The 21155-nt window shown below is 51.6% G+C and overlaps 1 protein-coding gene across 7 annotated transcripts, besides 3 other annotated features; it reads left to right on the plus strand.

Moving 5' to 3' along the window:
- Positions 7564-7858: a silencer, noted in NCBI's record as "tiled region #12454; HepG2 Repressive non-DNase unmatched - State 22:ReprW". NCBI's record gives its function as "represses a minimal TATA promoter and a strong SV40 promoter by Sharpr-MPRA in HepG2 cells {active_cell/tissue: HepG2}" and the evidence as "EXISTENCE:reporter gene assay evidence [ECO:0000049][PMID:27701403]".
- Positions 7564-7922: a biological region, named in NCBI's record as "Sharpr-MPRA regulatory region 12454".
- Positions 7705-7922: a silencer, noted in NCBI's record as "fragment chr11:60631750-60631967 (GRCh37/hg19 assembly coordinates)". NCBI's record gives its function as "represses an EF-1alpha promoter that drives an FKBP-Casp9 reporter gene in an ReSE screen in HepG2 liver carcinoma cells {active_cell/tissue: HepG2}" and the evidence as "EXISTENCE:reporter gene assay evidence [ECO:0000049][PMID:32094911]".
- On the plus strand, positions 10970-19115 carry ZP1 (zona pellucida glycoprotein 1). 7 transcript variants are annotated; one of them, NM_207341.4, is made up of 12 exons: positions 10970-11185; positions 12573-12694; positions 12965-13328; positions 13760-13903; positions 14385-14572; positions 14645-14742; positions 16590-16717; positions 16803-16992; positions 17062-17203; positions 18361-18442; positions 18557-18676; positions 18942-19115. In NM_207341.4, the coding sequence occupies exons 1-12, from the start codon at positions 10990-10992 to the stop codon at positions 19082-19084; spliced, it is 1917 nt and encodes a 638-aa protein (NP_997224.2). In that variant the 5' UTR covers positions 10970-10989; the 3' UTR covers positions 19085-19115. The 7 variants fall into 7 exon arrangements, with proteins under 7 accessions (NP_997224.2, XP_011543155.1, NP_001378872.1 ...); XM_011544853.3 differs by lacking the exons at positions 10970-11185; positions 12965-13328 and having other exon boundaries at positions 12628-12694; XM_011544852.3 differs by lacking the exons at positions 10970-11185; positions 12573-12694; positions 12965-13328; positions 13760-13903 and adding an exon at positions 14168-14272.

The following is a 21155-nucleotide window of genomic DNA, read 5'->3' on the forward strand; positions in this document are numbered from 1 at the left end:
CACACAGTAAGTGCTTATAAAAATCAGCTTCCTTCTCCTCTGAGGGAAAAATGAATATAGGCTCTAAGGCAAAGGTCATATAGCTTTTATTTAAAACAGGCTCAATTTTGGGAGGCCGAGGCGGATGGATCACTTGAGGTCAGGAGTTCAAGACCAGACTGGCCAATGTGGCAAAACCCCTGTCTGTACTAAAAATACAAAACTCAGCCAGGCGTGGTGGCACATGCCTGTAACCCCAGCTACTTGGGAGGCTGAGGCATGAGAATCGCTTAAACCCAGGAGGTGGAGGTTGCATTGAGCCGAGATCACACCACTGCACTCCAACCTGGGTGACAGAGTAAAAACTCCATCTCAAAAAAAAAAAAATGGAAATTTAAACTAAAAAACAAAAACAAACAAACAAAAAAACACACAGGCTCAAAGCCCTAGGATAAGAGAAGTTTGCATTTCATTGTTCCCTAACTCCTTACTCTCATTTGCTGACCAAGCTTCCTGGGGTCAGGACCATCCCTTCAACCTCAGCATCTCAGCACCTAATGGATACTCATTAAAACATTTTAAGAACTCAATATCCCTGTATCGAGGCAAAGGCACCTCCCATGAGATGGACAGCACAAGCATCTTCCATTTAGGCCTAGTCTTAACGCAGAGACTAATGCATAATACGCTCTTGCTGAGAGGCTACCATCATGAGTGGAAAATGAGTAAAATGCTATGCCCTTGTGATGGGGATAATACATCTCACTGTAGCCCAATATGGCAGATCAGTAAGAGCCTTGGTGATCCAAATCATTAACAATAGGAAAATGTCCCCTCTCCTCCAGGTCAGGGAAGGCTTGATTTCCAAAGACAAATGCCTGCAGCCCTCCAGAGAACATAGGTGGATGATTCCATTCTGCATGGGGAAAGTGCCCTCTTTTCCACCCACCCCGGACACCCAACCCACTGAACCACAGACAAGGCCACGTGTGCCTTGTCTGCGCACAGAGAGTGTCAGGCTGTGGTTAAGCCCAGGGACTCTGGGGCCAGACCACCAGTGTCTGGATCTGGCACTGCCACTCCTCAGCTATGTGATCTTGGGCAAGTAACTTCACAGCAGTAAAATATGAACTTTAAATGGTGTTCCTTCTGCACAGTCCCACCCTCAAAGGACAGGGGTTGGAGCCCAGATTTATCTTTGGACTAAGAAAAAGAATCACCCCTTCCCCACCACCCCACCCCACAGACACATCTCAGCACCAGGGCATCAGGCTTGAGATAAGGCACAGCCCTTCCTCTGGATCTCAGCCCACCCTTGACCCTTCCACTGGTATCCTTGTACAGTGAACATCCTGCACAACCTCTCCTGGCCACCCTGCTGAGGTGCTTCTTTTCTGGCTAAAAAACCCTTACTCATCTGCCCCTTCTCAGTCCTTGTTTCCAGTCCTGTAATCACTGTAGTGACTCATGTCCAGCCCCAGTGCGAGTGTGTTCCTCTCTAAAGAAAACCCAGTGTGTGTGTTCTCTCTAAAGAAAATGTATTACTAAGTAAACAAAAAAAGCTACTAAGCTTAAAGTTACCAAAACAAGTTCCAGATGAGCAGGGCCCAGAGGCATTTTCTGAAGAAGAGCCGTGCCCTGCCTTATCCCATGGCTTGTGTCCCCCAGGACTGGGAGAAAGATGCAGCTGCACTCAGGCTCAGGCCCTAGTCCCTAAATTACAACCTCCTCCAAGGCTTGGAACTTAATATCAGAGGCAGTAAGAGCGGAAGTCGGGTCCCTCGCTGCCTCAGCATCACCTTCTGCCGTGGAGGAGATGAATCTGAGCCTGTCGCTTCCTGGCACACGGGACCTCTGCTGCATCTCTGCTGCCCATGGGAGCTGTCCAGATTCCCAACCTAGCATTCAAGGCCTCTCAGGATCCAGTGCACCAACCACCAGTCCCTGCACCCCCTTCCTCATGTCCACAGCTACCCCATCCTTTCTTTCCCCACCTCCATGCCTTGGCACGTGCTGCTGGGAATGCCACTTCCCCTCCACGACTCATCCTGCAGGACCTCTTTCTGAGACCACCAATGTCACTAGATACTCAGAGGATACTTACAGCATCAATGTTTAACAAATACAGCCAAGGGAGCAAAGGAATGAAGGAGGGGCAGATGGAGCCCCCAAGCATAGGCCCAGCCCACATGGGCTTTCTTCTCCCTCTAGGTGGGTTTTTTATGTTCCTTTCTGGCCACTTTAAAGAAGTCAGTCAAACAGGAAGTGAGATGCAGGGCAGGAAGCAGGGTGAGGCCTGCCCTGGGATCCTCCAGCCCCTTGCTCGGAGGCCCTCGAGCTACCCACACCCAGTAGAGGAGCAGCATGGCAGGGCCCCAAATGATACCTTGGGGAGGCCCAGGTTGAGTTCCCTGGTGCCACCATCACCCACAGGACTCCTCGCATGGCCAACAAGCCCCTCGGTGATCCAGTCCCACCCAAGCCTCCCCTGGCATTGCTGCCACTCCCTAGTGGCATCCTGTCATCAGCCAGCACTCACCACTGTCCCCTCCTGTCCTGTGCACACCAGGCTTTTTCTGTACACACCAGGCTGTTTCTGTGCCCACCAGGCTGTTTCTGTGCCCTGGCTTATGCTGTTTGTGCTCTGCTCTGGAATGCCTTTTCTTCCCTTGGCCTCTCAGTGAACTCCTATTCATCCTTCAAAACCCTGGTTAGAGGTTGCCTCCTCTGGGAAGCCTTTGCTGATTCTCTCAGACCCACTTGCTGTCCCTCCTCTCCCACATCTCCACTTCACTTGACCTGCAGCCCCCCTGTCTTCCCTGGTAACTCTTGTTCACACAACTGTTCACCACCCTCATGAGCCACCTGAAGACAGAGACTTATTCCTGTTTTATCTTCTCACCTCCAAAGGCAAGCAGAGGGCCTGACACATGAGAGGGGTCCCAACATATATTTGCTGAACAGAATGAATCTCTAAAATTGGCTTCCCTGTGCAGACCTCAAAGGACCCCAGTCCCTTGTGGTGACCCATTCTGAGACCTTTACTTTTTTTTTTTTTTTTTTTTTTTTGAGACTGAGTCTCGCTCTGTTGCACAGGCTGGAGTGCAGTGGCCCTATCTTGGCTCACTGCAACCTCCGCCTCCCGGGTTGAAGCGACTCTCTTGCCTCAGCCTCCCAAGTAGCTGGGACTGCAGGCGTGCGCCACCGCACCCGGCTAATTTTTGTATTTTTAGTAGAGAAGGGGTTTCACCATGTTAGCCTGGCTGGTCTCAAACTCCTGACATCAGGTGATCTGCCTGCCTCAGCCTCCCAAAGTCCTGGGATTACAGGCCTGAGCCACTGTGTCCGGCCCCATTCTGGAACCTTTCTTACCCATGGTCTGGTGCAATTCTCCATGGCTCTGTCTTCACCTGCAGTGGGTACAACCTTGGGGACTGATCGCTTTATAGTAGGAAGGAAGACAAGAAGGCAGAGCAGGCAGAGGCAGCCCTGGCCTGGGCTCAGGCCCACACATGTGCCAGGCAATCGTCGCAGAAACAACAGTGGTGTATTTGTTTCCTCGGGCTGTCAGAACAAACTACCACAAACGTGGCAGCTTTAAACAACAGAGACTTATTCTCTTACAGTCTGGAAGCCAGAGTCTGTAATCAGATGCCAGCACTTCCTCCGAAAGCTCTAGAAAAGGAGACTTTTTGGCCCCTCCAGCTTCTGGTGGCTCCAGGCGTCCCTTGGCTTAGGGCTGCATCACTGCAATCTCTACCTCCTCTTTACCTGGCCTTCCCCCTCCCTCTTTTCATGTGTCTCTCACAGAGTACTGGTCACTGGACTTAGGGCTCATCTGGATCATCCAGGGTGCTCTCATCTTGAGATTCTTAAATTGATTACATCTGCAAAGTCCTCTTATCCAAATAAGGCCACATTCACAGGTTCCAGGGGTTAGGTTGTGGACATGTCTTTTGAGGGCCACCATTCAACACAGTGAAAGCAATAATAGCTTCTGGGTACGGTGGCTCATGCCTGCAATCCCAGCACTTCGGGAGGATGAGGCGGACAGATCACTTGAGGTCAGGAGTTCGAGACCAGCCTGGCCAACAGGCAAAACCCCATCTCTACTAAAAATACAAAAATTAGCCAGGTGTGATGGTGCACGCCTGTAATACCAGCTATTCAGGAGGCTGAGGCAGGAGAATCGCTTGAACCCAGGAGGCAGAGGTTATGGTGAGCCGAGATCCTGCCACTCCACTCCAGCCTGGGTGACAGAGCGAGACGCCATCTCAAAAAAAAAAAAAAAAAAAAAATGAAAACAGTAATAGCTAACACTTATGGGGCACTCACTATGTGCCAGCGTAAGGCTGAAACTTGCTCATGGATGAGCTCATCAAATATTCACGCACCCCTCTGAGTTAGGTACCACTATCATCGTCACTCACCAAGGGGAAAACTGAGGCTCAGAGAGCTTAAGCAACCCTACCAAGCCTGCTCAGCTGGGGAGCAGAGGAGCTGGAGTTCAGAGCCATGTGGTCCAGCAGCAGAGCCCAGCTCTTCGCAGCTGATGAGATTCTCTGAGGTTCTTTGTTCCCTCAGGGGAAGCAGGGCTGCCTGTCTTCAGTTAAATGCGCTCCCACTGGCCTTCTGGGAGCATCTCTGCGGTGAGCACGGTCCATACATACACACACAGCTGGCGCTGCTCTTGGGTTACTCTGCAGGCCCCGGAGTGAGGCAGCCTGCTTCCTGCTGGTTTCCTGGCATGCATGGATCCCCTGAAAGGGGATTTTGTCTTTCCAGCCTAGAGAGGCTCCATCCTCCTCCAGTGCCTTCCCTAGGCTCTATTCACAGAGGAGACAGGGCAAGCAACTGATACTTACACGGCGCCCCACTTAGGTGGACTGTATTCTTAGTTCCATTTTATAGATTAAGAAACTCAAGTTCCAACTGGGTGCGGTGGCTCACGCCTGTAATCCCAGCACTTTGGGAGGCTGAGGCGGGCGGATCGCAAGGTCAGGAGATCGAGACCATCCTGGCTAACACGGTGAAACCCCGTCTCTACTAAAAATATAAAAAATTAGCCGGGCATGGTGGCCAGCGCCTGCAGTCCCAGCTACTCGGGAGGCTAAGGCTGGAGAATGGTGTGAACCGGGAGGCGGAGCTTGCAGTGAGCCGAGATCGCGCCACTGCACTCCAGCCTGGGCGACAGAGTGAGACTCTGTCTCAAAACAAAACAAAAAAAAAAAAAGAAAGAAAAGAAACTGAAGTTCCATTAAAAAAAAATTCATAGGTTAAAAACAGAAAGAAAGAAATGAACAAACAGGTTTACAAACAGGCCAAGTGGCCAGGTGTGGAGGCTCATGCCTGTAATCCCAGCACTTTGGGAGACAGAGGCGGGCAGATTGCTTGAGCCCAGGAGTTTGAGACCAGCCTGGGCAATATAGCAAGACCCCATCTCTAAAAAAAAACCCAAAAACCAGAAGCCAAGTGGATAAAGCCAAGATTCCAAGTCAAGTCACCTCCATCTGACCCTCTCTCTTTATCAATAAAAATAATCGTGGTTGTAATGGCTATCGTGTTCAAATGATGACCATGTGCAGACCCTGTTCTGCCTGCTTCACATGGATTATCTCATTTAATCCTCAGAGCAACCCTACAATTTAGGTGCTATTATAACCCCATTTTATAGATGAGGAAAGCAAGTCACAGAGCAGGGAAGGGACTTTTCCAAGGTCTCCAGTGGGTGAGCAGAGGAGCTGGGATCCTCCCAGGCTGATAATTCTTGGTGTCCATGAGTCTTTGCAAGAACGTAGAGTCGTAACCGAGGGCTCAGGGCGCTCGTGCGCGCTCTCTCTCTCTCTTGGATACTCTGGTACCCTTTTCCCAAAGGTGTTCTGCCCTTGGCCCTGAGGAAGCCCCCCTTCTCTTTCCCTGCCCATTTCCAGCACCTTGGGAGACGTACTTTCCCCATGGGTCCATGACCAGTGGGGAAACACCTCTCCGTGTCTTATGTAATTGCATCCCCACCATAATCATTCTCATCCTTACTCTCCAGATAGAGGAAAAAAGCCGGTAAGTGACTTCCCAGGGCCCTTGTGCTCATAAACAGTGAGCACCAGGCAAAATCCAGGCCTCTCAAAGACTCCAGCTGATTCTCTCTCTGGCCCCTAAAAGCCCCCGTTAGGAAAAGTTCTCTCTTATGATAGCAAATAAATGCAGAAGGAAGGGTAGAGTTAGAGAACCACCACCCACTTGGCAACCACACTAGCCAGTGAACATTTGAAGAGGAGCAGGATTGATTACATAGTCTCAAAGTATCTCCCTGTAAGATACTCATGAATTACAAAGAGAAACATCATTACTTTATGGTGGAGAAACCTGGCAGACACCACCTTATCCAAGTGATCAAAGTCACATCAGCAATAACAGGACAAGCCAGCGGGGTGTGCCTCGAGATACTGAGAAGGACACAACATCACTTCTGTACAAGCTGAATTGTATCCCCCCAAAATTCATATGCGAAATCCCTAACCCTCCACCCCCATCCCTCAGAATGTGACTGTATTTGGAGATAGAGCTTTTAAAGATGTGATTTAAGATTGAGCCCCTTAAGGTGGCCCTAATCCAATCTGACTGGTGTCCTTAGAAGAAGAGGAAATTTGTTTTTGTTTTTTGGGATGGAGTTTCACTCTGTCTTCCAGACTGGAGTGCAGTGGTGCCGTCTTGGCTCCCTGCAACCTCCACCTCCCAGGTTCAAGTGATTCTCCCACCTCAGCCTCCTGAGGAGCTGGGATTGCAGGTGTGCACCACCACACCCAACTAATTAGTTTGTATTTTTAGTAGAGATGGGGTTTCACCATGTTGGCCAGGCTGGTCTCAAACTCCTGACCTCAAGTGATCTGCCCACCTCGGCCTCCCAAAGTGCTAGGATTACAGGCGTGAGCCACCGTGCCAGCCAGAAGAAGAGGGAATTTGACCATTCAAAGAGACACCAAGGACGCACCAGCACAGGGGAAAGACCACGTGAGGACTCAGTGAGAAGACGGTTGTCTGCAGGCCAAAGAGAGAGGCCTCAGGAGCAACCAGACCTGCCACCACTTTGACCTAGCACATCCAGGCTCCAGAGCTGTGAGAAAAAGACTTATTTAAGCCACTCAGTCTGTATTTTGTTACAGCAGCCAAACGGACTAATACAAGGCCAAGATGCATCAACTAAATCTAATGTAACCAGGAGAAAACACCAGACAAACCCAAACTGAGGGCCATTCTGCAAAATCATCCGGCTGTACTAAAAAATGTCAAGGGTATGAAAGACAAAAGAAGATAGAAGGGCGGTCCCAGATCAGAGGAGGCCAAGAGGCACGCCAGCGAGACTCTGAGCCTGGATTGGATCCTGCAGACTCCCAAAACCACTGTACTCCTTTGCCATGAAAGTCACAGTTAGGACAGTCGGCAGATGTTGAGTAATTGTCAGAGCAGGAGCACCGTCATCTCGGACAAATACTGCCACTTTAAGCTCCAGCTCCCTTTCTAGCCTCATGCATTTCAAGGAAATCACTTCTCTTCTAACTACAACAGCCAGAAAGAGCAGACAGTAAAATACAGATAAGACAGCTCCGGCACAGAGCGGGGTGGAGGGAAGGTCTCTTTGGTAACTGCCAAACTTCACCCTCACACAATGAGCCCCAGTAAAACAGTGGGCCTTAATAAGCACATTCCTTTTCCTTCAGGGGCACTAAGATAGGGAAGCTAAAAGCAGACTCTGGGGATATGCCTGTAGCTGCAGAAAGATATATGGGAACAGACACACAACTCTCCCTCCCAGATACGCACAGCAAAGAGACACAGGAGCAGTCCAAGCCTCTGATAAACTCCCCCGCCCTGAATCCTTAACTCTTAATCTGTAAGAGAGTGGGGCTCTGACCTAACTCGGCCAGCCGCCCCTCTCAGGTTTACTCAACATAAACCTGTCCCTGTTGCCTGTTGAACCGCCCTTTCATGTTGCTTTCCTCTTTATTTCTTACAATAATGTCTGCAGATTAGATCGTTGTGTTTATACCATTGTTGGTTTCCTGATTTTGATCATTTGACTGTAGGGGTGATTTGTTTTTTTAGGAAATGTATACTGAAGCAATTAGAGGTAAAGGGGAATCTGTCATTTCTGCAACTGACTCTTGAATGATATGGAAGAATGTGTGCGTGTGTGCGTGTGCGTGCGTGTATGTCTGCACACATGCAGAGAGAGAAAGCGGGAGCTACAGCAAATGTAAAAAGTGAACAGTGAACATCTGAGGAATCTGGAGGAGGCTATATGGAAATTCTGCAAATCTGAAATAATTTCAAAATTAAAAGTTTAAAACTTCCACATCGTCCCTCAGGGAAAATCCACCCCACTCCCCGCTCCTGCCTGGCTCCTCTCCTTCCCCTCCTAGTCCTTCCCTCGCCAGCACCCTCAGCCTGCCTGGAGTCCTTGTCCTGGACCTTTGTGTGACCTGCTTCCTCCCTCCTCCTCCAGCTCTGCTCTCCCCAGATCCCCATTGCACCATCCCTGTCCTCCCCGCCTCCTCCCACCTCTGCTCAGGACCCCTTTCCTCCAAAAACACTTCCATGTCGCCCATCCTCGATGCTGTGTTGGGTGCCTCTTCCCACTGTGCCCCCAGAGGGACTCCCACCCCGCCCCACCAAGCTTTCCCAGCTGAGCTTTAATCACAGTAGAAGTGAATTATTGCCAAGCATTAAATCATTACTGCACCTGGTACCCATGACTTGTCTCTTTGTGTCTTCCTATCCACCATGTGGGCAAGGAAAGCATTATCACCCCCAGTTTACAAACAGGAAACCTGAGGCTCAGAATAGATAATGCATCTGAGTCACAGCTAAGAAAGTGGTTGGGGCACCATTAGAACCAACTTTTTTTGTTTAAACTTTTATTTTAGGTTCAGGGTTACTTATGCAGGTTTGTTATATAGGTAAATGCATGTCCAGAGGGATTGTTGTACAGATTATTTCATCACCCAGATACTAAGCCTAGCACCCAATAGTTATTATTTCCACCCTTCTCCTTCCTCTTACCCTCTACCCTTCAATAGGCCCCAGTGTGTGCCATTCCCCTCTATGTGTCCATATGTTGTCATCATTTAGCCTTCAGTTATAAGTGAGAACATGTGGTATTGGTTTCTGTTCCTGCATTTGTTTGCTAAGGATAATATCCTCCAGCTCCATCCATGTTCTTGCAAGAGATGTGATCTCATTCTTTTTTATGGCTGCATAGTATTCCATGGTGTATGTGTACCACATTTTCCTTTTTTTTTTTTCTTTTTCTTTTTTTTTTTTTTTTTTTGAGACAGAGTCTCACTCTGTCGGCCAGGCTGGAGTGCAACAGCACAATCTCGGCTCACTGCAACCTCCGTCTCCTGGGTTCAAGCGATTCTCCTGCCTCAGCCTCCTGAGTAGCTGGGACTACAGGTGCGTGCCACCACACCCAGCTAATTTTTGTATTTTTAGTAGAGACAGGGTTTCACCATGTTAGCCAGGATGGTCTCGATCTCCTGACCTCGTGATCCGCCCGCCTCGGCCTCCCAAAGTGCTGGGATTACAGGCGTGAGCCACCGTGCTCAGCATGTACCAGATTTTCTTTATTGAGTCTACCATTGATGGGCATTTGATTCCATGTCTTGGCTATTGTGAATCATGCTGCACTGAACATATGCACGCAGGTTCAGTGTCTTTATGATAGAACAATTTATATTCCTTTGGATATATACCCAGTAATGCGATTTCTGCATCAAATGATAGTTCTGTTTTCAGCTCTTTGAGGAATCACCACACTCCCACAGTGGTCAAACCAATTTACACCCCCACCAAGAGCGTATAAGCATTCCTTTTTCTCTGCAACCTCACCAGAACCGGGCTCTTAGCTATCAAGCCTCTTGCTCTCCCCTTCCAGCAGCTGCTAATTATAATAGCTGCATTTTCTAATGTTTGCTGAGCTCAAACGCTGCTGGGCCCTAGGCTAATCACTTGCAGGAATTAGTGCCAGGACGTGGGGCTGGTGACAGTCCCTTCCTCAGAGGATGGTCAGGCGGTATAAGGATCTAACACAAGCAAGACCTGGCACTGTAATCATGGCAGACCACAGGCCATTCTTGTTGTTTCCAGCCACTTTTATGTCTTAGAACTGTTCTAGATTTACAGAACTGAGAAGATAGTACAGACAGTTCCCATACACCGCAGGCCCAGTTTACCCCATAACTGATCTTACTTGAGTATGATACATTTATTACAATTAATGAACAAACAAATGTGGACACATTATTATTAACTAAAATCCACTTTCTTCACTTTTACTGCCTTTTTCTGTTCCACGATCCCATCCAGATGCCACATTACATTTAGTTGTCCTTGTTATTTTTTATTAGTCATAGTCATCATCATACTGACCGGCTGAATCCTCAGGAGAGCCCTTGGAGGTGCTACTGGTCTGTTTACTCACCTGCAGTCCCCATTCCGCTGCCAGCTCTGAGGGCTGTGTCTTCCTGGTCTTGCTCTAATGCCCCTAAAGCCCTGCCTGAGGAGCTGTGACTGTACTAACCAGGCCGGCAGCTCCCAGTGGTCCTGAGGCCTCAAGGCAGGAAGGAGGACCTGGAGAGCCTGTTGGGGCAGGAAGGGAATGCAGAAAGGCTGGGGTGAGAGGGAGACAGTGGAGGGCCTGAGGTCTGCAGTGCCACCTCCTAGCCCTGGATCCCTTCCCACAGCCCATCTGCAACCTCAGTTTTCTGGAAAGCTCCCTCCTCCCTTCCAAAGCCACAGCTGTGAGACAGAAAGCCAGGGTGAGGGGCCACGTGCAGCTTTCTGCCTCCCGCTGCCTTTGGAACAGGAGTTTCACCACAGCCCCTGGTGGCCAGGTGGGTGCTCCTCCAGGTGGGCCCCCTTTGCCCTTACAGGCACCCACTTGCCACCTCCTCCATAAAAGGCCTGGGCCCAGCTCTGGTGGCGAGGGAGTAGGGGGTGTGTCTGTGGCGTCTCATGGCAGGAGGCTCAGCCACGACCTGGGGTTACCCTGTGGCCCTGCTACTGCTGGTTGCCACCCTGGGGCTGGGTAGGTGGCTCCAGCCCGACCCTGGCCTCCCAGGCCTCCGGCACAGCTACGACTGTGGGATCAAGGGAATGCAGCTGCTGGTGTTCCCCAGGCCAGGCCAGACTCTCCGCTTCAAGGTGGTGGGTGAGTGCTGGCAGAGTCCTGGCCCCTGCCTCCCTGGCCACGGGCTGCTGCCAGAAGGGAGCTGGGACCCTTCCCCTGAAGGAGCAAGAACAGAGGCCTCCCTCCAGCCTGGGGGTGTCCAGCCCCCCACCCCCTCACCACAGAAAAGGGCAAGGAGGAGAATCATCACCCAGGGCAGCTTCTCCCACGTTAGTGTGCATGGGAAACACCTGGCCACCTTGTTGAGGTGCAGGTTCTGATTCAGTGGACCTGGGGCAGGGCCAAGCCTCTGCATTTCTTTTCTTTTTTTTTTTTTTTTCTGAGACAGTCTCACTTCTTTCAATCTGTTCTCCAGGCTTGAGTGCAGTTGGCACGATCTCAGCTCACTGCAACCTCCACCACCCAGGTTCAAGCAATTCTCCTGCCTCAGCCTCTTAGTAGCTGGGACTACAGGTGTGTGCCACCACGCCCAGCTACTTTTTGTATTTTTAGTAGAGATGGAGTTTCACGATATTGGTCAGGCTGGTCTCGAACTCCTGACCTCAGGTGATCCACCTGCCTCAGCCTCCCAAAGTGCTGGGGTTATAGGCGTGAGCCACTGCACCCAGCCTAGGCTCTGCATCTCTAACCACGCTCAGTCAAAACTGAGGCTGAGGGTCCATAAACCACTTCCAGCAGCAGGACCTAGTAGGCGTGGCCTGGTGTGGGTTTAGAACTGGGGTTTGGATCTGCAGCTTCTAAACGGGATGATTTTGGACAACTGACCTGACTCATAAGCCTCTGTTTCCTCATCTGCAAGGTGGGGAAGATGAACCTGGCCGTGCTCATGGAACAAGGGCATGGGGACATGCCCACACCCAGGGAATGCCCAGGCTGTTCTGGGGCAACAAGCAGGGTGGACACCTAGGGGGTGTCTCCAAGCAACTGCAGCAGCCACAGTTAACCTGGGAAATGGGTTCAGATCTTTCTACAAAGCCCAGGATTCAAATCCTCATTCTGCCCCTCATTGTGTGCACCTAAGAAAGCTCACGCACCCTCCCTTCCTCAGCTGCCTCAGCCACAGGATGTGGATAACTAAGCTTAAAAGAAGTGATGTGAAATACTCAGGCCAGTGCCTGAGACCCTGTGTATCCCTTCTCCACCTCATCTTCGTGCCTGCCTGCTGCCGTGTGCTGTGAGCAGGGAACCCTAGCTAGAAAGATCCTAAGACCCTCCCATCCCCTTACAGCTGTGGAAACTGAGAGCAGAGAGGGGAGGGGGCTTGCCCAAGACCACACAACAAACTAATAGCAAAGCTAAGGCAAGAACCCAGGTCTCCTGGCTGCTGAGTGGGAACTCCTTCCGAGACCCCAGCAACCTCTCCCTGCACCCTTCAACATCCCTGGCCCCTCCCCTTCCCCCACTGCAGATGAATTTGGGAACCGATTTGATGTCAACAACTGCTCCATCTGCTACCACTGGGTCACCTCCAGGCCGCAGGAGCCTGCAGTCTTCTCGGCCGATTACAGAGGCTGCCACGTGCTGGAGAAGGTAGGGGTTGTTCATGCTCTGGCACAGGGGCAAGCTTGTCCTAGTGTCATGTCAGGCTGAAGAGGCCCCTCATGAACCAGAAAGGAGCCAAAGCCGAAGATCTGTTGAGCTGGTGGGTGAGGGAAACTAAGCTCTGGAAGGTACTTTCTGGAATCCACCATGAATCCAGCTCCCTGCCTAATGGCCAGCTCAGCTCTCGTGGGCCCGTCCCCTGCCTGGGTATGCTAGGTGGCCTCACCTTGCTGCTCTATGATGGCCTCTCACCTGCAGGATGGGCGTTTCCACCTGAGGGTGTTCATGGAGGCTGTGCTGCCCAATGGTCGTGTGGATGTGGCACAAGACGCTACTCTGATCTGTCCCAAACCTGACCCCTCCCGGACTCTGGACTCCCAGCTGGCACCACCCGCCATGTTCTCTGTCTCAACCCCACAAACCCTTTCCTTCCTCCCCACCTCTGGCCATACCTCCCAAGGCTCTGGCCATGCCTTTCCCAGCCCACTGGACCCAGGGCACAGCTCTGTCCACCCAACCCCTGCTTTACCATCCCCTGGACCTGGACCTACCCTCGCCACCCTGGCTCAACCCCACTGGGGCACCTTGGAACACTGGGATGTGAACAAACGAGATTACATAGGTACGCAGGACATCTGAGTGTACTTACCCTCTGTCTGGGGACTTCTGGAGTACAGGGTGGCCTAACAGCCTTTTACTGGGCTCTAAGCCATTTCTTTTTTTGTTTTTTTCTTTTTTTAGAAAAAGATGATTCTTTTATTCCTTTGTAGTATTTGGAAAACAGCTTTAAACATGTATAGGTGTACTAAAGCTAGAAGAGGTCTTGTAAATTTGTTTCCTAACTTTAGGCAGAAACTCATTGAAACCATTGCCAGCAACACCTGATTCTCAGAAAATATTCTCTAGAAATTTCAGTAATATTCAGTTTTGAGGGAGGACATTTACTGTGCTGGCTAAGAGCACAAGCTCTGGAGCAGGTTCCCAAGATTCAATTCCAGGGCCATGATTTGCAAACTGTGTGCCTTCAGCCTCATCACTCTGTCCCAACCCTAGGTACCCACCTGAGCCAGGAGCAGTGCCAGGTGGCCTCAGGGCACCTCCCCTGCATCGTGAGAAGAACTTCAAAAGAAGCCTGTCAGCAGGCTGGCTGCTGCTATGACAACACCAGAGAGGTTCCCTGTTACTATGGCAACACAGGTACAACCTCCCACCCCAGCAAGATCCTGGTCCCTTGGATTCTGAAGCGGAAGGAGAGCTGTCTCCTCCAGCTGGTGGAAACTGCTTCCTATCCTCCTCCTGGAGAGCCCAACTCCCAGAGCAGATGGCAGAGGAGACCTTTAGATGGGGCGGTCACATGTCCCAGCTGGCCTTATAACAACTGTCCCAGGGAACTATTAATAGATCTACCTTACACACATCTGGACTTTCAGATCTGAAACGCCCTGGTTTGGATGACAGATTATATGGTGAACCTACTTTTAGAGTGTAGTTCAACTCATTTGTCACATGGATGAGAAAATCAGTCCATAAAGGGTTTGCTGGGGCCAACACCAGCCTAAGTGGAGAGTAAGCGTCCATTCTCCTAGACCGGCACTTAAAGCCTGGCTGTCACCCAGCCATCCCGTCTCTGTGCTGGATGGACACCAAACCCCAAGGCCCTCATCTGCCTTTGTCCCAGCTACTGTCCAGTGCTTCAGAGATGGCTACTTCGTCCTCGTGGTGTCCCAAGAAATGGCCTTGACACACAGGATCACACTGGCCAACATCCACCTGGCCTATGCCCCCACCAGCTGCTCCCCAACACAGCACACGGAAGCTTTCGTGGTCTTCTACTTCCCTCTCACCCACTGTGGAACCACAATGCAGGTAGGAGCCGGGACCACAGGCTGGGGCCTGGTCCCCCACCAGAAAGCCTCACCCAGCTGTCTCTTCCTACAGGTGGCTGGCGACCAGCTCATCTATGAGAACTGGCTGGTGTCTGGCATCCACATCCAAAAGGGGCCACAGGGTTCCATCACGCGGGACAGCACCTTCCAGTAAGGGCAGCCCTCCTCCTACAGGCGTGGCTGTGTGCTAGGGTGTCAGGGGCACAGGCGAGCTCAGTACAGGCTTCGGAGCCATCTCAGCTCAAACCCAGGCTCTGCTGTTACCCGGCTATGTGATCTTAGGCAAGGGGCCCACCTCTTCCCAGCCTCCCCTGCTGGGCAGGGGAAATGTCCCTCTCTCAGGGCAGACATGAGTGTTAAGTGGAGCCCTTCCATGCCTGGCCTGCAGGGCTTGGCTAGAAGCCCAGGGCCAGTCCTGAGAGAGCTGGAGTCCTGAGAGAGCCCTGTCTTGGTCTCTCCAAGAACCAAGCTCAAAGCAACTGAAAGTGTCCCCTTCCAGGTCCCAGGAGGAGGCTGAGGCTACGGCTGTTGCCCCTCCTAATGTCAGGTTAAGAAGCCACAGATGAAGCTGAAGATACCTCTCTGAGGATGTGGTGGGAGAGGAACTGGGTGGGGGAGGAACCCCTCATTGTTAGGGGCCTCCTGGACCTGCTGACTCAAGAGGCAAAACCAACCCAGGTGCCCAGGATGCCAGTGGGGGTGACCCGAGGGAATCTGTCTGTCATGCCTGGCTCTGAACCTGTGTGACCAGGGGCAAAGCACCTAACCTTCACCCTGTGGGACGGAGCCAATGGGTTGTAGAAATCTTGTGCTTGACACTGCATGGTTGCTGGGCATCTCCTTCCCCTTCCCGCCCTGCCGTGAGGGTTGGGGAGCAGGGGACTGTGTCACAGTTCAAATGTATTTGGCTTTAAAGCTCTAAGTAGCACAGAGGTGGTAGCTCACGCCTATGATACCAGCGCTTTGGGAGGCCTAGGTGGGAGAATTGCTGGAAGTTCAAGACTAGCCTGGGCAACACAGCGAGACCCCATTTCTATTTTTTATTTTAATTTAAAAAAACCCATATGTTCTTATGGCCAAGTGGTGGAGGACAAGTCTGTGTCATGCCTTTAGACTCTCTGATGTAAGAGCTCTGGGAGTCAGCCAGAGGTCAACAGAGTGCCTAGGGATTCTCAGAGGGAGGCAGAAGTCAGGGGGAAACAGCTGTAGCCAGCAGGACTAGGCCAGAGAGCTCCTCAGACACAAGGCCTTCAGAACAGGGGTGAGCCTCCTATACCTACTCAGCATCTCCTTGGTACCAGGCCTCTGGGGTGCTAGGAGGGTGTTGGCCCCACCAGAGTGTGGAGGAGTGGCCACCATGGCCCTTAGGCTAGTGAGGAAGATGCTAGACACTGTGGCCTTTAGGCTGTGGCAAACCAGCTGCAACTACAAGGACAATGAAGACACAGGTGCATTATCTTGTGATCTCACTCAGTCTCAGTGCCCTCAAAGGGAGGCAGTCACAGCCATTTTACAAATGAGGACACTGAGGCTTAGGTTAGAAGACTTGCTTGTGGTCCCAAAGCCTGTAAATGCTAAGAAGACTCAAATCCAGGTCTGTCGGGAGGCAGAGCACCTAGGCTCATTCACCAGCCTCAACTGTCAGGCTCCAGGGGCCTCGAACGGCACAGCAGGCAGCTGTGGGTAGCCAGGGCAGACCCAACAAGGTGCCAGCCCCCCGAGGGCCCATCTCTATCCTGCTGTATTCTCCCACCAGGTGCAGGGCCTGGCATAACAGGCTTGAGCCATCCCAGGGAGACCAGGTGGGCAGAGGAATGGGCAGGGTGAGCTTCCTGAGCCTGCCTTGGAAATGCTGAGTATTGCTTAAGTAGCATCCATCTGCCCTGCTGGACAGTACCCTATTTGTTGCACCCACGGAGTTGGTGCCTAGTTTATTACGTAAACAGGATGCTCTGATTCTGTGTCTTCTCCCCCACCCTCTTGCACGTGGACTTCAGGCTTCATGTGCGCTGTGTCTTCAACGCCAGTGACTTCCTGCCCATTCAGGCATCCATTTTCCCACCCCCATCGCCTGCTCCTATGACCCAGCCCGGCCCCCTGCGGCTTGAGCTGCGGATTGCCAAAGGTATGCTATGCTATCCCTGCTCTCTTCTGGCCCCCACTTCCCTGATGCACAGCCCGCCCTGGCTCATGAGTCACTCTCCCTGCAGACGAGACCTTCAGCTCGTACTATGGGGAGGATGACTATCCCATCGTGAGGCTGCTCCGAGAACCAGTCCATGTGGAGGTCCGGCTTCTGCAGAGGACAGACCCCAACCTGGTCCTGCTGCTGCACCAGTGCTGGGGCGCTCCCAGTGCCAACCCCTTCCAGCAGCCCCAGTGGCCCATCCTGTCAGACGGGTGAGTGCCCCCACACTCCCCCCACCTGCTCTGCCTCCTGTAAACAGCCTCTCTGACTTCTCTTCTCAGATGCCCTTTCAAGGGCGACAGCTACAGAACCCAAATGGTAGCCTTGGACGGGGCCACACCTTTCCAGTCGCACTACCAGCGATTCACTGTTGCTACCTTCGCCCTCCTGGACTCAGGCTCCCAGAGAGCCCTCAGAGGACTGGTAAGAAGCCCCGGCTGCCGCATGCCTGGTCCCATCTGTTAAGTGGGAGGAGCTGGTCGCCAAATCCCTCTGGCACCCTGTGAACTTATATGGACAAAGTTCTGGGATGGGGCTTGGCGTCTACCAGGTGTCATGGAAAGCAGCGGGCTTCGGGTCAGCAAGAAGGTAACCCATAACCACCACCAGGAGGAAGGAAAATGCTGCCTGTGCTGCAATCAGCCCTAAATCTGAACTCTGGTCATGGTGTTCTAGGGTGGCCTCACCTCACTTCTGATTCCAGAAATGATAATGTGTTCCATGTAATTCTTTGAATTTTCTTTAACTCAGCAACTTCTCCAGAAGGTAAAGGTAGATAAACTCAGGGTATATTTAGGTCTCCTATGTAATATACAGATGGCCTCAGAGGTGACAGATGCACTTGTCCCATTGAACAACGTATCTTTCACATCACATACCCAAATCTCTAGATTCTTAAATCACTGCCTGTTATTATGTCAGATGTAGACTGATTTCACTTGGAAGCACTGGTTAGTGTGGCTTCGTTCTCATCTCTGCTGTGTGCTGCCCATGAGTGGGGCCTCCTGGGTGCTGGGTTGGGTCAGCTCCTCCTGCTTCTGGTCCCGTAGGGCACTGCCCCTGCCCTTCTGTATCTGGAAGCGGTGGTAATCTGCCCTCCCCTCTGCCCCCAGTCACTGGTCTCCAGGGGTCACAAAGGGAGGGCAAACATCTATTATCCTGCTGCCTGGCCAAGTCCCACCTCCTTGGAATTTGCTGTCTCCCTCAGTAGGGCAGGTGGAAGGGAGAGAGCCAGCCCTCCCAGGGGCTGTGCAGCCAGAGGCAGCATTGGTGAAGCAGGCCCGCCAAGGACTGGGGCATTACGAAGTGCGGTGGTCCCCGCCTGCAGGGCACTCCACTGCAGACTTGGACCTTGGGGAGCAAGGAAGGTGTGGATTTCAAATCTGGAAGGAACACATTCAGCTCTGCACTCCCTCAGCATGGGCAGCAGTCATCATCTTGGTCAAGCAGCTCAGATTTCTCCCTGCCTGGCTAGCAGCAGCCTAGACTTGGCCCAGCTCGGGGATTCCATGTCCTTCCCTTTGTGCTTCCTGCCCGGTGGCACTGAGCCAGCCACTTTGATGTTCTTCTCCTTCCACCAGGTTTACTTGTTCTGCAGCACCTCTGCCTGCCACACCTCAGGGCTGGAGACTTGCTCCACTGCATGTAGCACTGGCACTACAAGTGAGTCTGGGTTGCGAGTGGTATTTGTTCCTTTATACATCTTCAGGCCTGTGCCTGGCCTCTGGGCCACAGGGGCAGGAGACCAGCCCAAGATTTCATTCTTCCCCTGGGCAGGACAGCGACGATCCTCAGGTCACCGTAATGACACTGCCAGGCCCCAGGACATCGTGAGCTCTCCGGGGCCAGTGGGCTTTGAGGATTCTTATGGGCAGGAGCCCACACTTGGGCCCACAGGTAGGAGGGCTTCTGGGTGGGCCCCTCAGGCCTTACCCACTCTCAGCCCCCAAGATTGTGCTGACAAAACAGGGATGCTCCAGCCATAGCTGAGGGCAAGAGATGGTGTCACTGCAGTCAGTGGGGAACTAAGTGAAGACAGACACAGTCCACCTCATCTGCAGAAAGGCAGCTTCAGCTCTGCCCAGTGTGATACAAAGTTCTGGGGTGGAGGGGAGGGTTGGAGGGGCCTCACCCAGCCCTGCCAATCCCGTCTCTCTGACAGACTCCAATGGGAACTCCAGCCTGAGACCTCTCCTTTGGGCGGTCCTTTTGCTGCCAGCTGTTGCCCTGGTCCTTGGGTTTGGTGTCTTTGTGGGCCTGAGCCAGACCTGGGCCCAGAAGCTCTGGGAAAGCAACAGACAGTGAATGGGCCCAATAAACAATCATTTCAAACCTACTGAAACCAGGTGTGGAGAAGTTATTTGTGACGACTAGAACAGAACTATTTCTTATGTGAGAAACTTCCTCCAAGTCAGCTCTGTCCTTCCAAAACTGTGACGTTGATTACAAATACTTCATATATGCCACACCCTGCACAGAGGCCAATGTCCCCCAAGGCTCAACTCGGGAGCCTCTGCCTCTCCACAAGGAACGGTGGCATTTCAGGCAGAGCAAACAGGACAAAGATACTGGAGGTTAAGACATTGACAGTCAAAGAACACCAACAGCTGGGAACTGGGCCCCTGGCAGGAATGAATGGCTTGTGAAGGCTTGTCACCTCCTCACAGACACAGAAGTTCTGACAAGGGCATCCTCAAAGCACCCTGAGCAGCTGCTGTCATGGATAAGGGTTACTCTAAGACTGAGTTGAAGGAGCACTTCACAGACCCCCTGAGCCTGCCAGCCTACCGCTAAAGGCTGCATTTCTGACCACAGCCTCCCATCCCTTCCCCTGGCCTCCCAAGACTATCCATGTGGGAAGGGCTGGCACAGGAGGAATGGCAGCCTGCTGGCCCTGACACTGGCTGCGATGGTGGGCATGGCCACCAGACAGGTCTGTGCCAGTGCTGGCTATGCCGCTGAGCCCAGTTTGCCCATGTATGGCATGGGCCTTCATCTCTGACTTGGCAGCAAAGCCCTTTCTAGACATGTCAATCCTCTAGGTGGAGAAGGGGACAGGATGCTAGGGTTTGGCCTCAATGGGACAGGGAGAAGAATCTGGTAGGGAAGCCTGAACTTGGTTTCAGACACCTTTCCGGACTTCAGGTAGAGCACGAGCTTAGAGAGCTGTTACAAGAGGAGCTGAGGTACTCAAGTCATGCCTGTGGCCTTAATACTGCATGTACCCCCTACTCATCCAGCTCTGGCCTACTCAGCCTTTCCTGTCTTCAGAATACTGGACAAGCATGTGGACCCCAGAGCTGGCTTCTTACTAGCTGTGTGATATTCAGTAAGTTACTCAACTTCCCTGGGCCTCAGATTTCTCATCTGTAAAATGAGGTTAATGTCTATTCCCATAGAAGTATTGGGTAAAATGAGTTAACAGATAAGAATGCTTAGAATAGTACATAACGGCCAACAGTAACTGGGTGCTATTAACTACTGACTAGAATTGCATTTCCTCTTGCCCCAAGCCTAATGCTTACTTAGTTTTTGTTGTCAATGTTTTGGTTTGGTTTTGTATGTACAAGTTTACAGGCCAATACGAAGAGGGGCTAGGGGAAACTGCTGTCTTTTGACTCTTCTAGCTAGAGGGAGAACATAAAAGGCAGGAAGGCCCAAACATTTGCCATGGAAGCTAAGTGACTTCCCTTCTCTGGGCCTGTCTTCCCATCTATGGCTAGCAACGGCCAGTCTTGCCCTGCCCAACTTCCTGGCTTGTACAGGGAGACACAGGATATATCCTGCAGGGTCAGTGTGATATAGGTGAGGATTCTTAGCTTGGCTGGTTGGAGAAGCCAGGTTGACTTGGTCTTAGGGGCCTGGGTTCTGGTTCCTTCCAGCATTAACTCCTCCTCCTTCCCCTCCCTCCATCATACAAGCTCATGTAAGGATTTCAAACTTCCAGAGGTACCAATTGGAATAATGCTGTGTAACTGAATTTGCTTTAACACAAGGGTGGATGTCTTGTGTCATTTCCTATCATTTCAAATAGAGGTAGTCTCTAAACTGCGGTTGAACTATGATATTTGATCTGTTGATAGAGACCAAGTGGGTTAAGGATGACGAGTGTTGAACACAATTACTTAAGCATATAGTTCTTTGTATACTATTTTCTTGAAAGACAGTCTTAGAACTGCTGGGTCAAGACCACACCTCTTATGACTGTGGGACTCGGGACTGTCTGAGTGTCTCCCCACCCAATCCCACTGTGCAGGCTTGCCACCACAGGCCAGTAACACTCTAAATCTTTGCCTATCTGAGCATCATAAGGCAAATGGCATTGGCCGTTTTGAAGGGGCTCTTTTTGATTAGAAGTCAAGCATCTTTCTAGCCA

This window comes from Homo sapiens, chromosome 11, assembly GCF_000001405.40.
Source record: "Homo sapiens chromosome 11, GRCh38.p14 Primary Assembly".
NCBI lineage: Eukaryota > Metazoa > Chordata > Mammalia > Primates > Hominidae > Homo > Homo sapiens.

Bases quoted from the DNA above. Each gene is read 5' to 3' on its own strand.
- ZP1 (NM_207341.4), top strand. From the start codon at position 10,990: ATGGCAGGAGGCTCAGCCACGACCTGGGGTTACCCTGTGGCCCTGCTA. The intron at 12,695-12,964 runs GTAGGGGTTGTT...TCTCACCTGCAG, and splicing joins GCTGCCACGTGCTGGAGAAG to GATGGGCGTTTCCACCTGAG. The intron at 16,993-17,061 runs GTGAGTGCCCCC...TTCTCTTCTCAG, and splicing joins TGGCCCATCCTGTCAGACGG to ATGCCCTTTCAAGGGCGACA.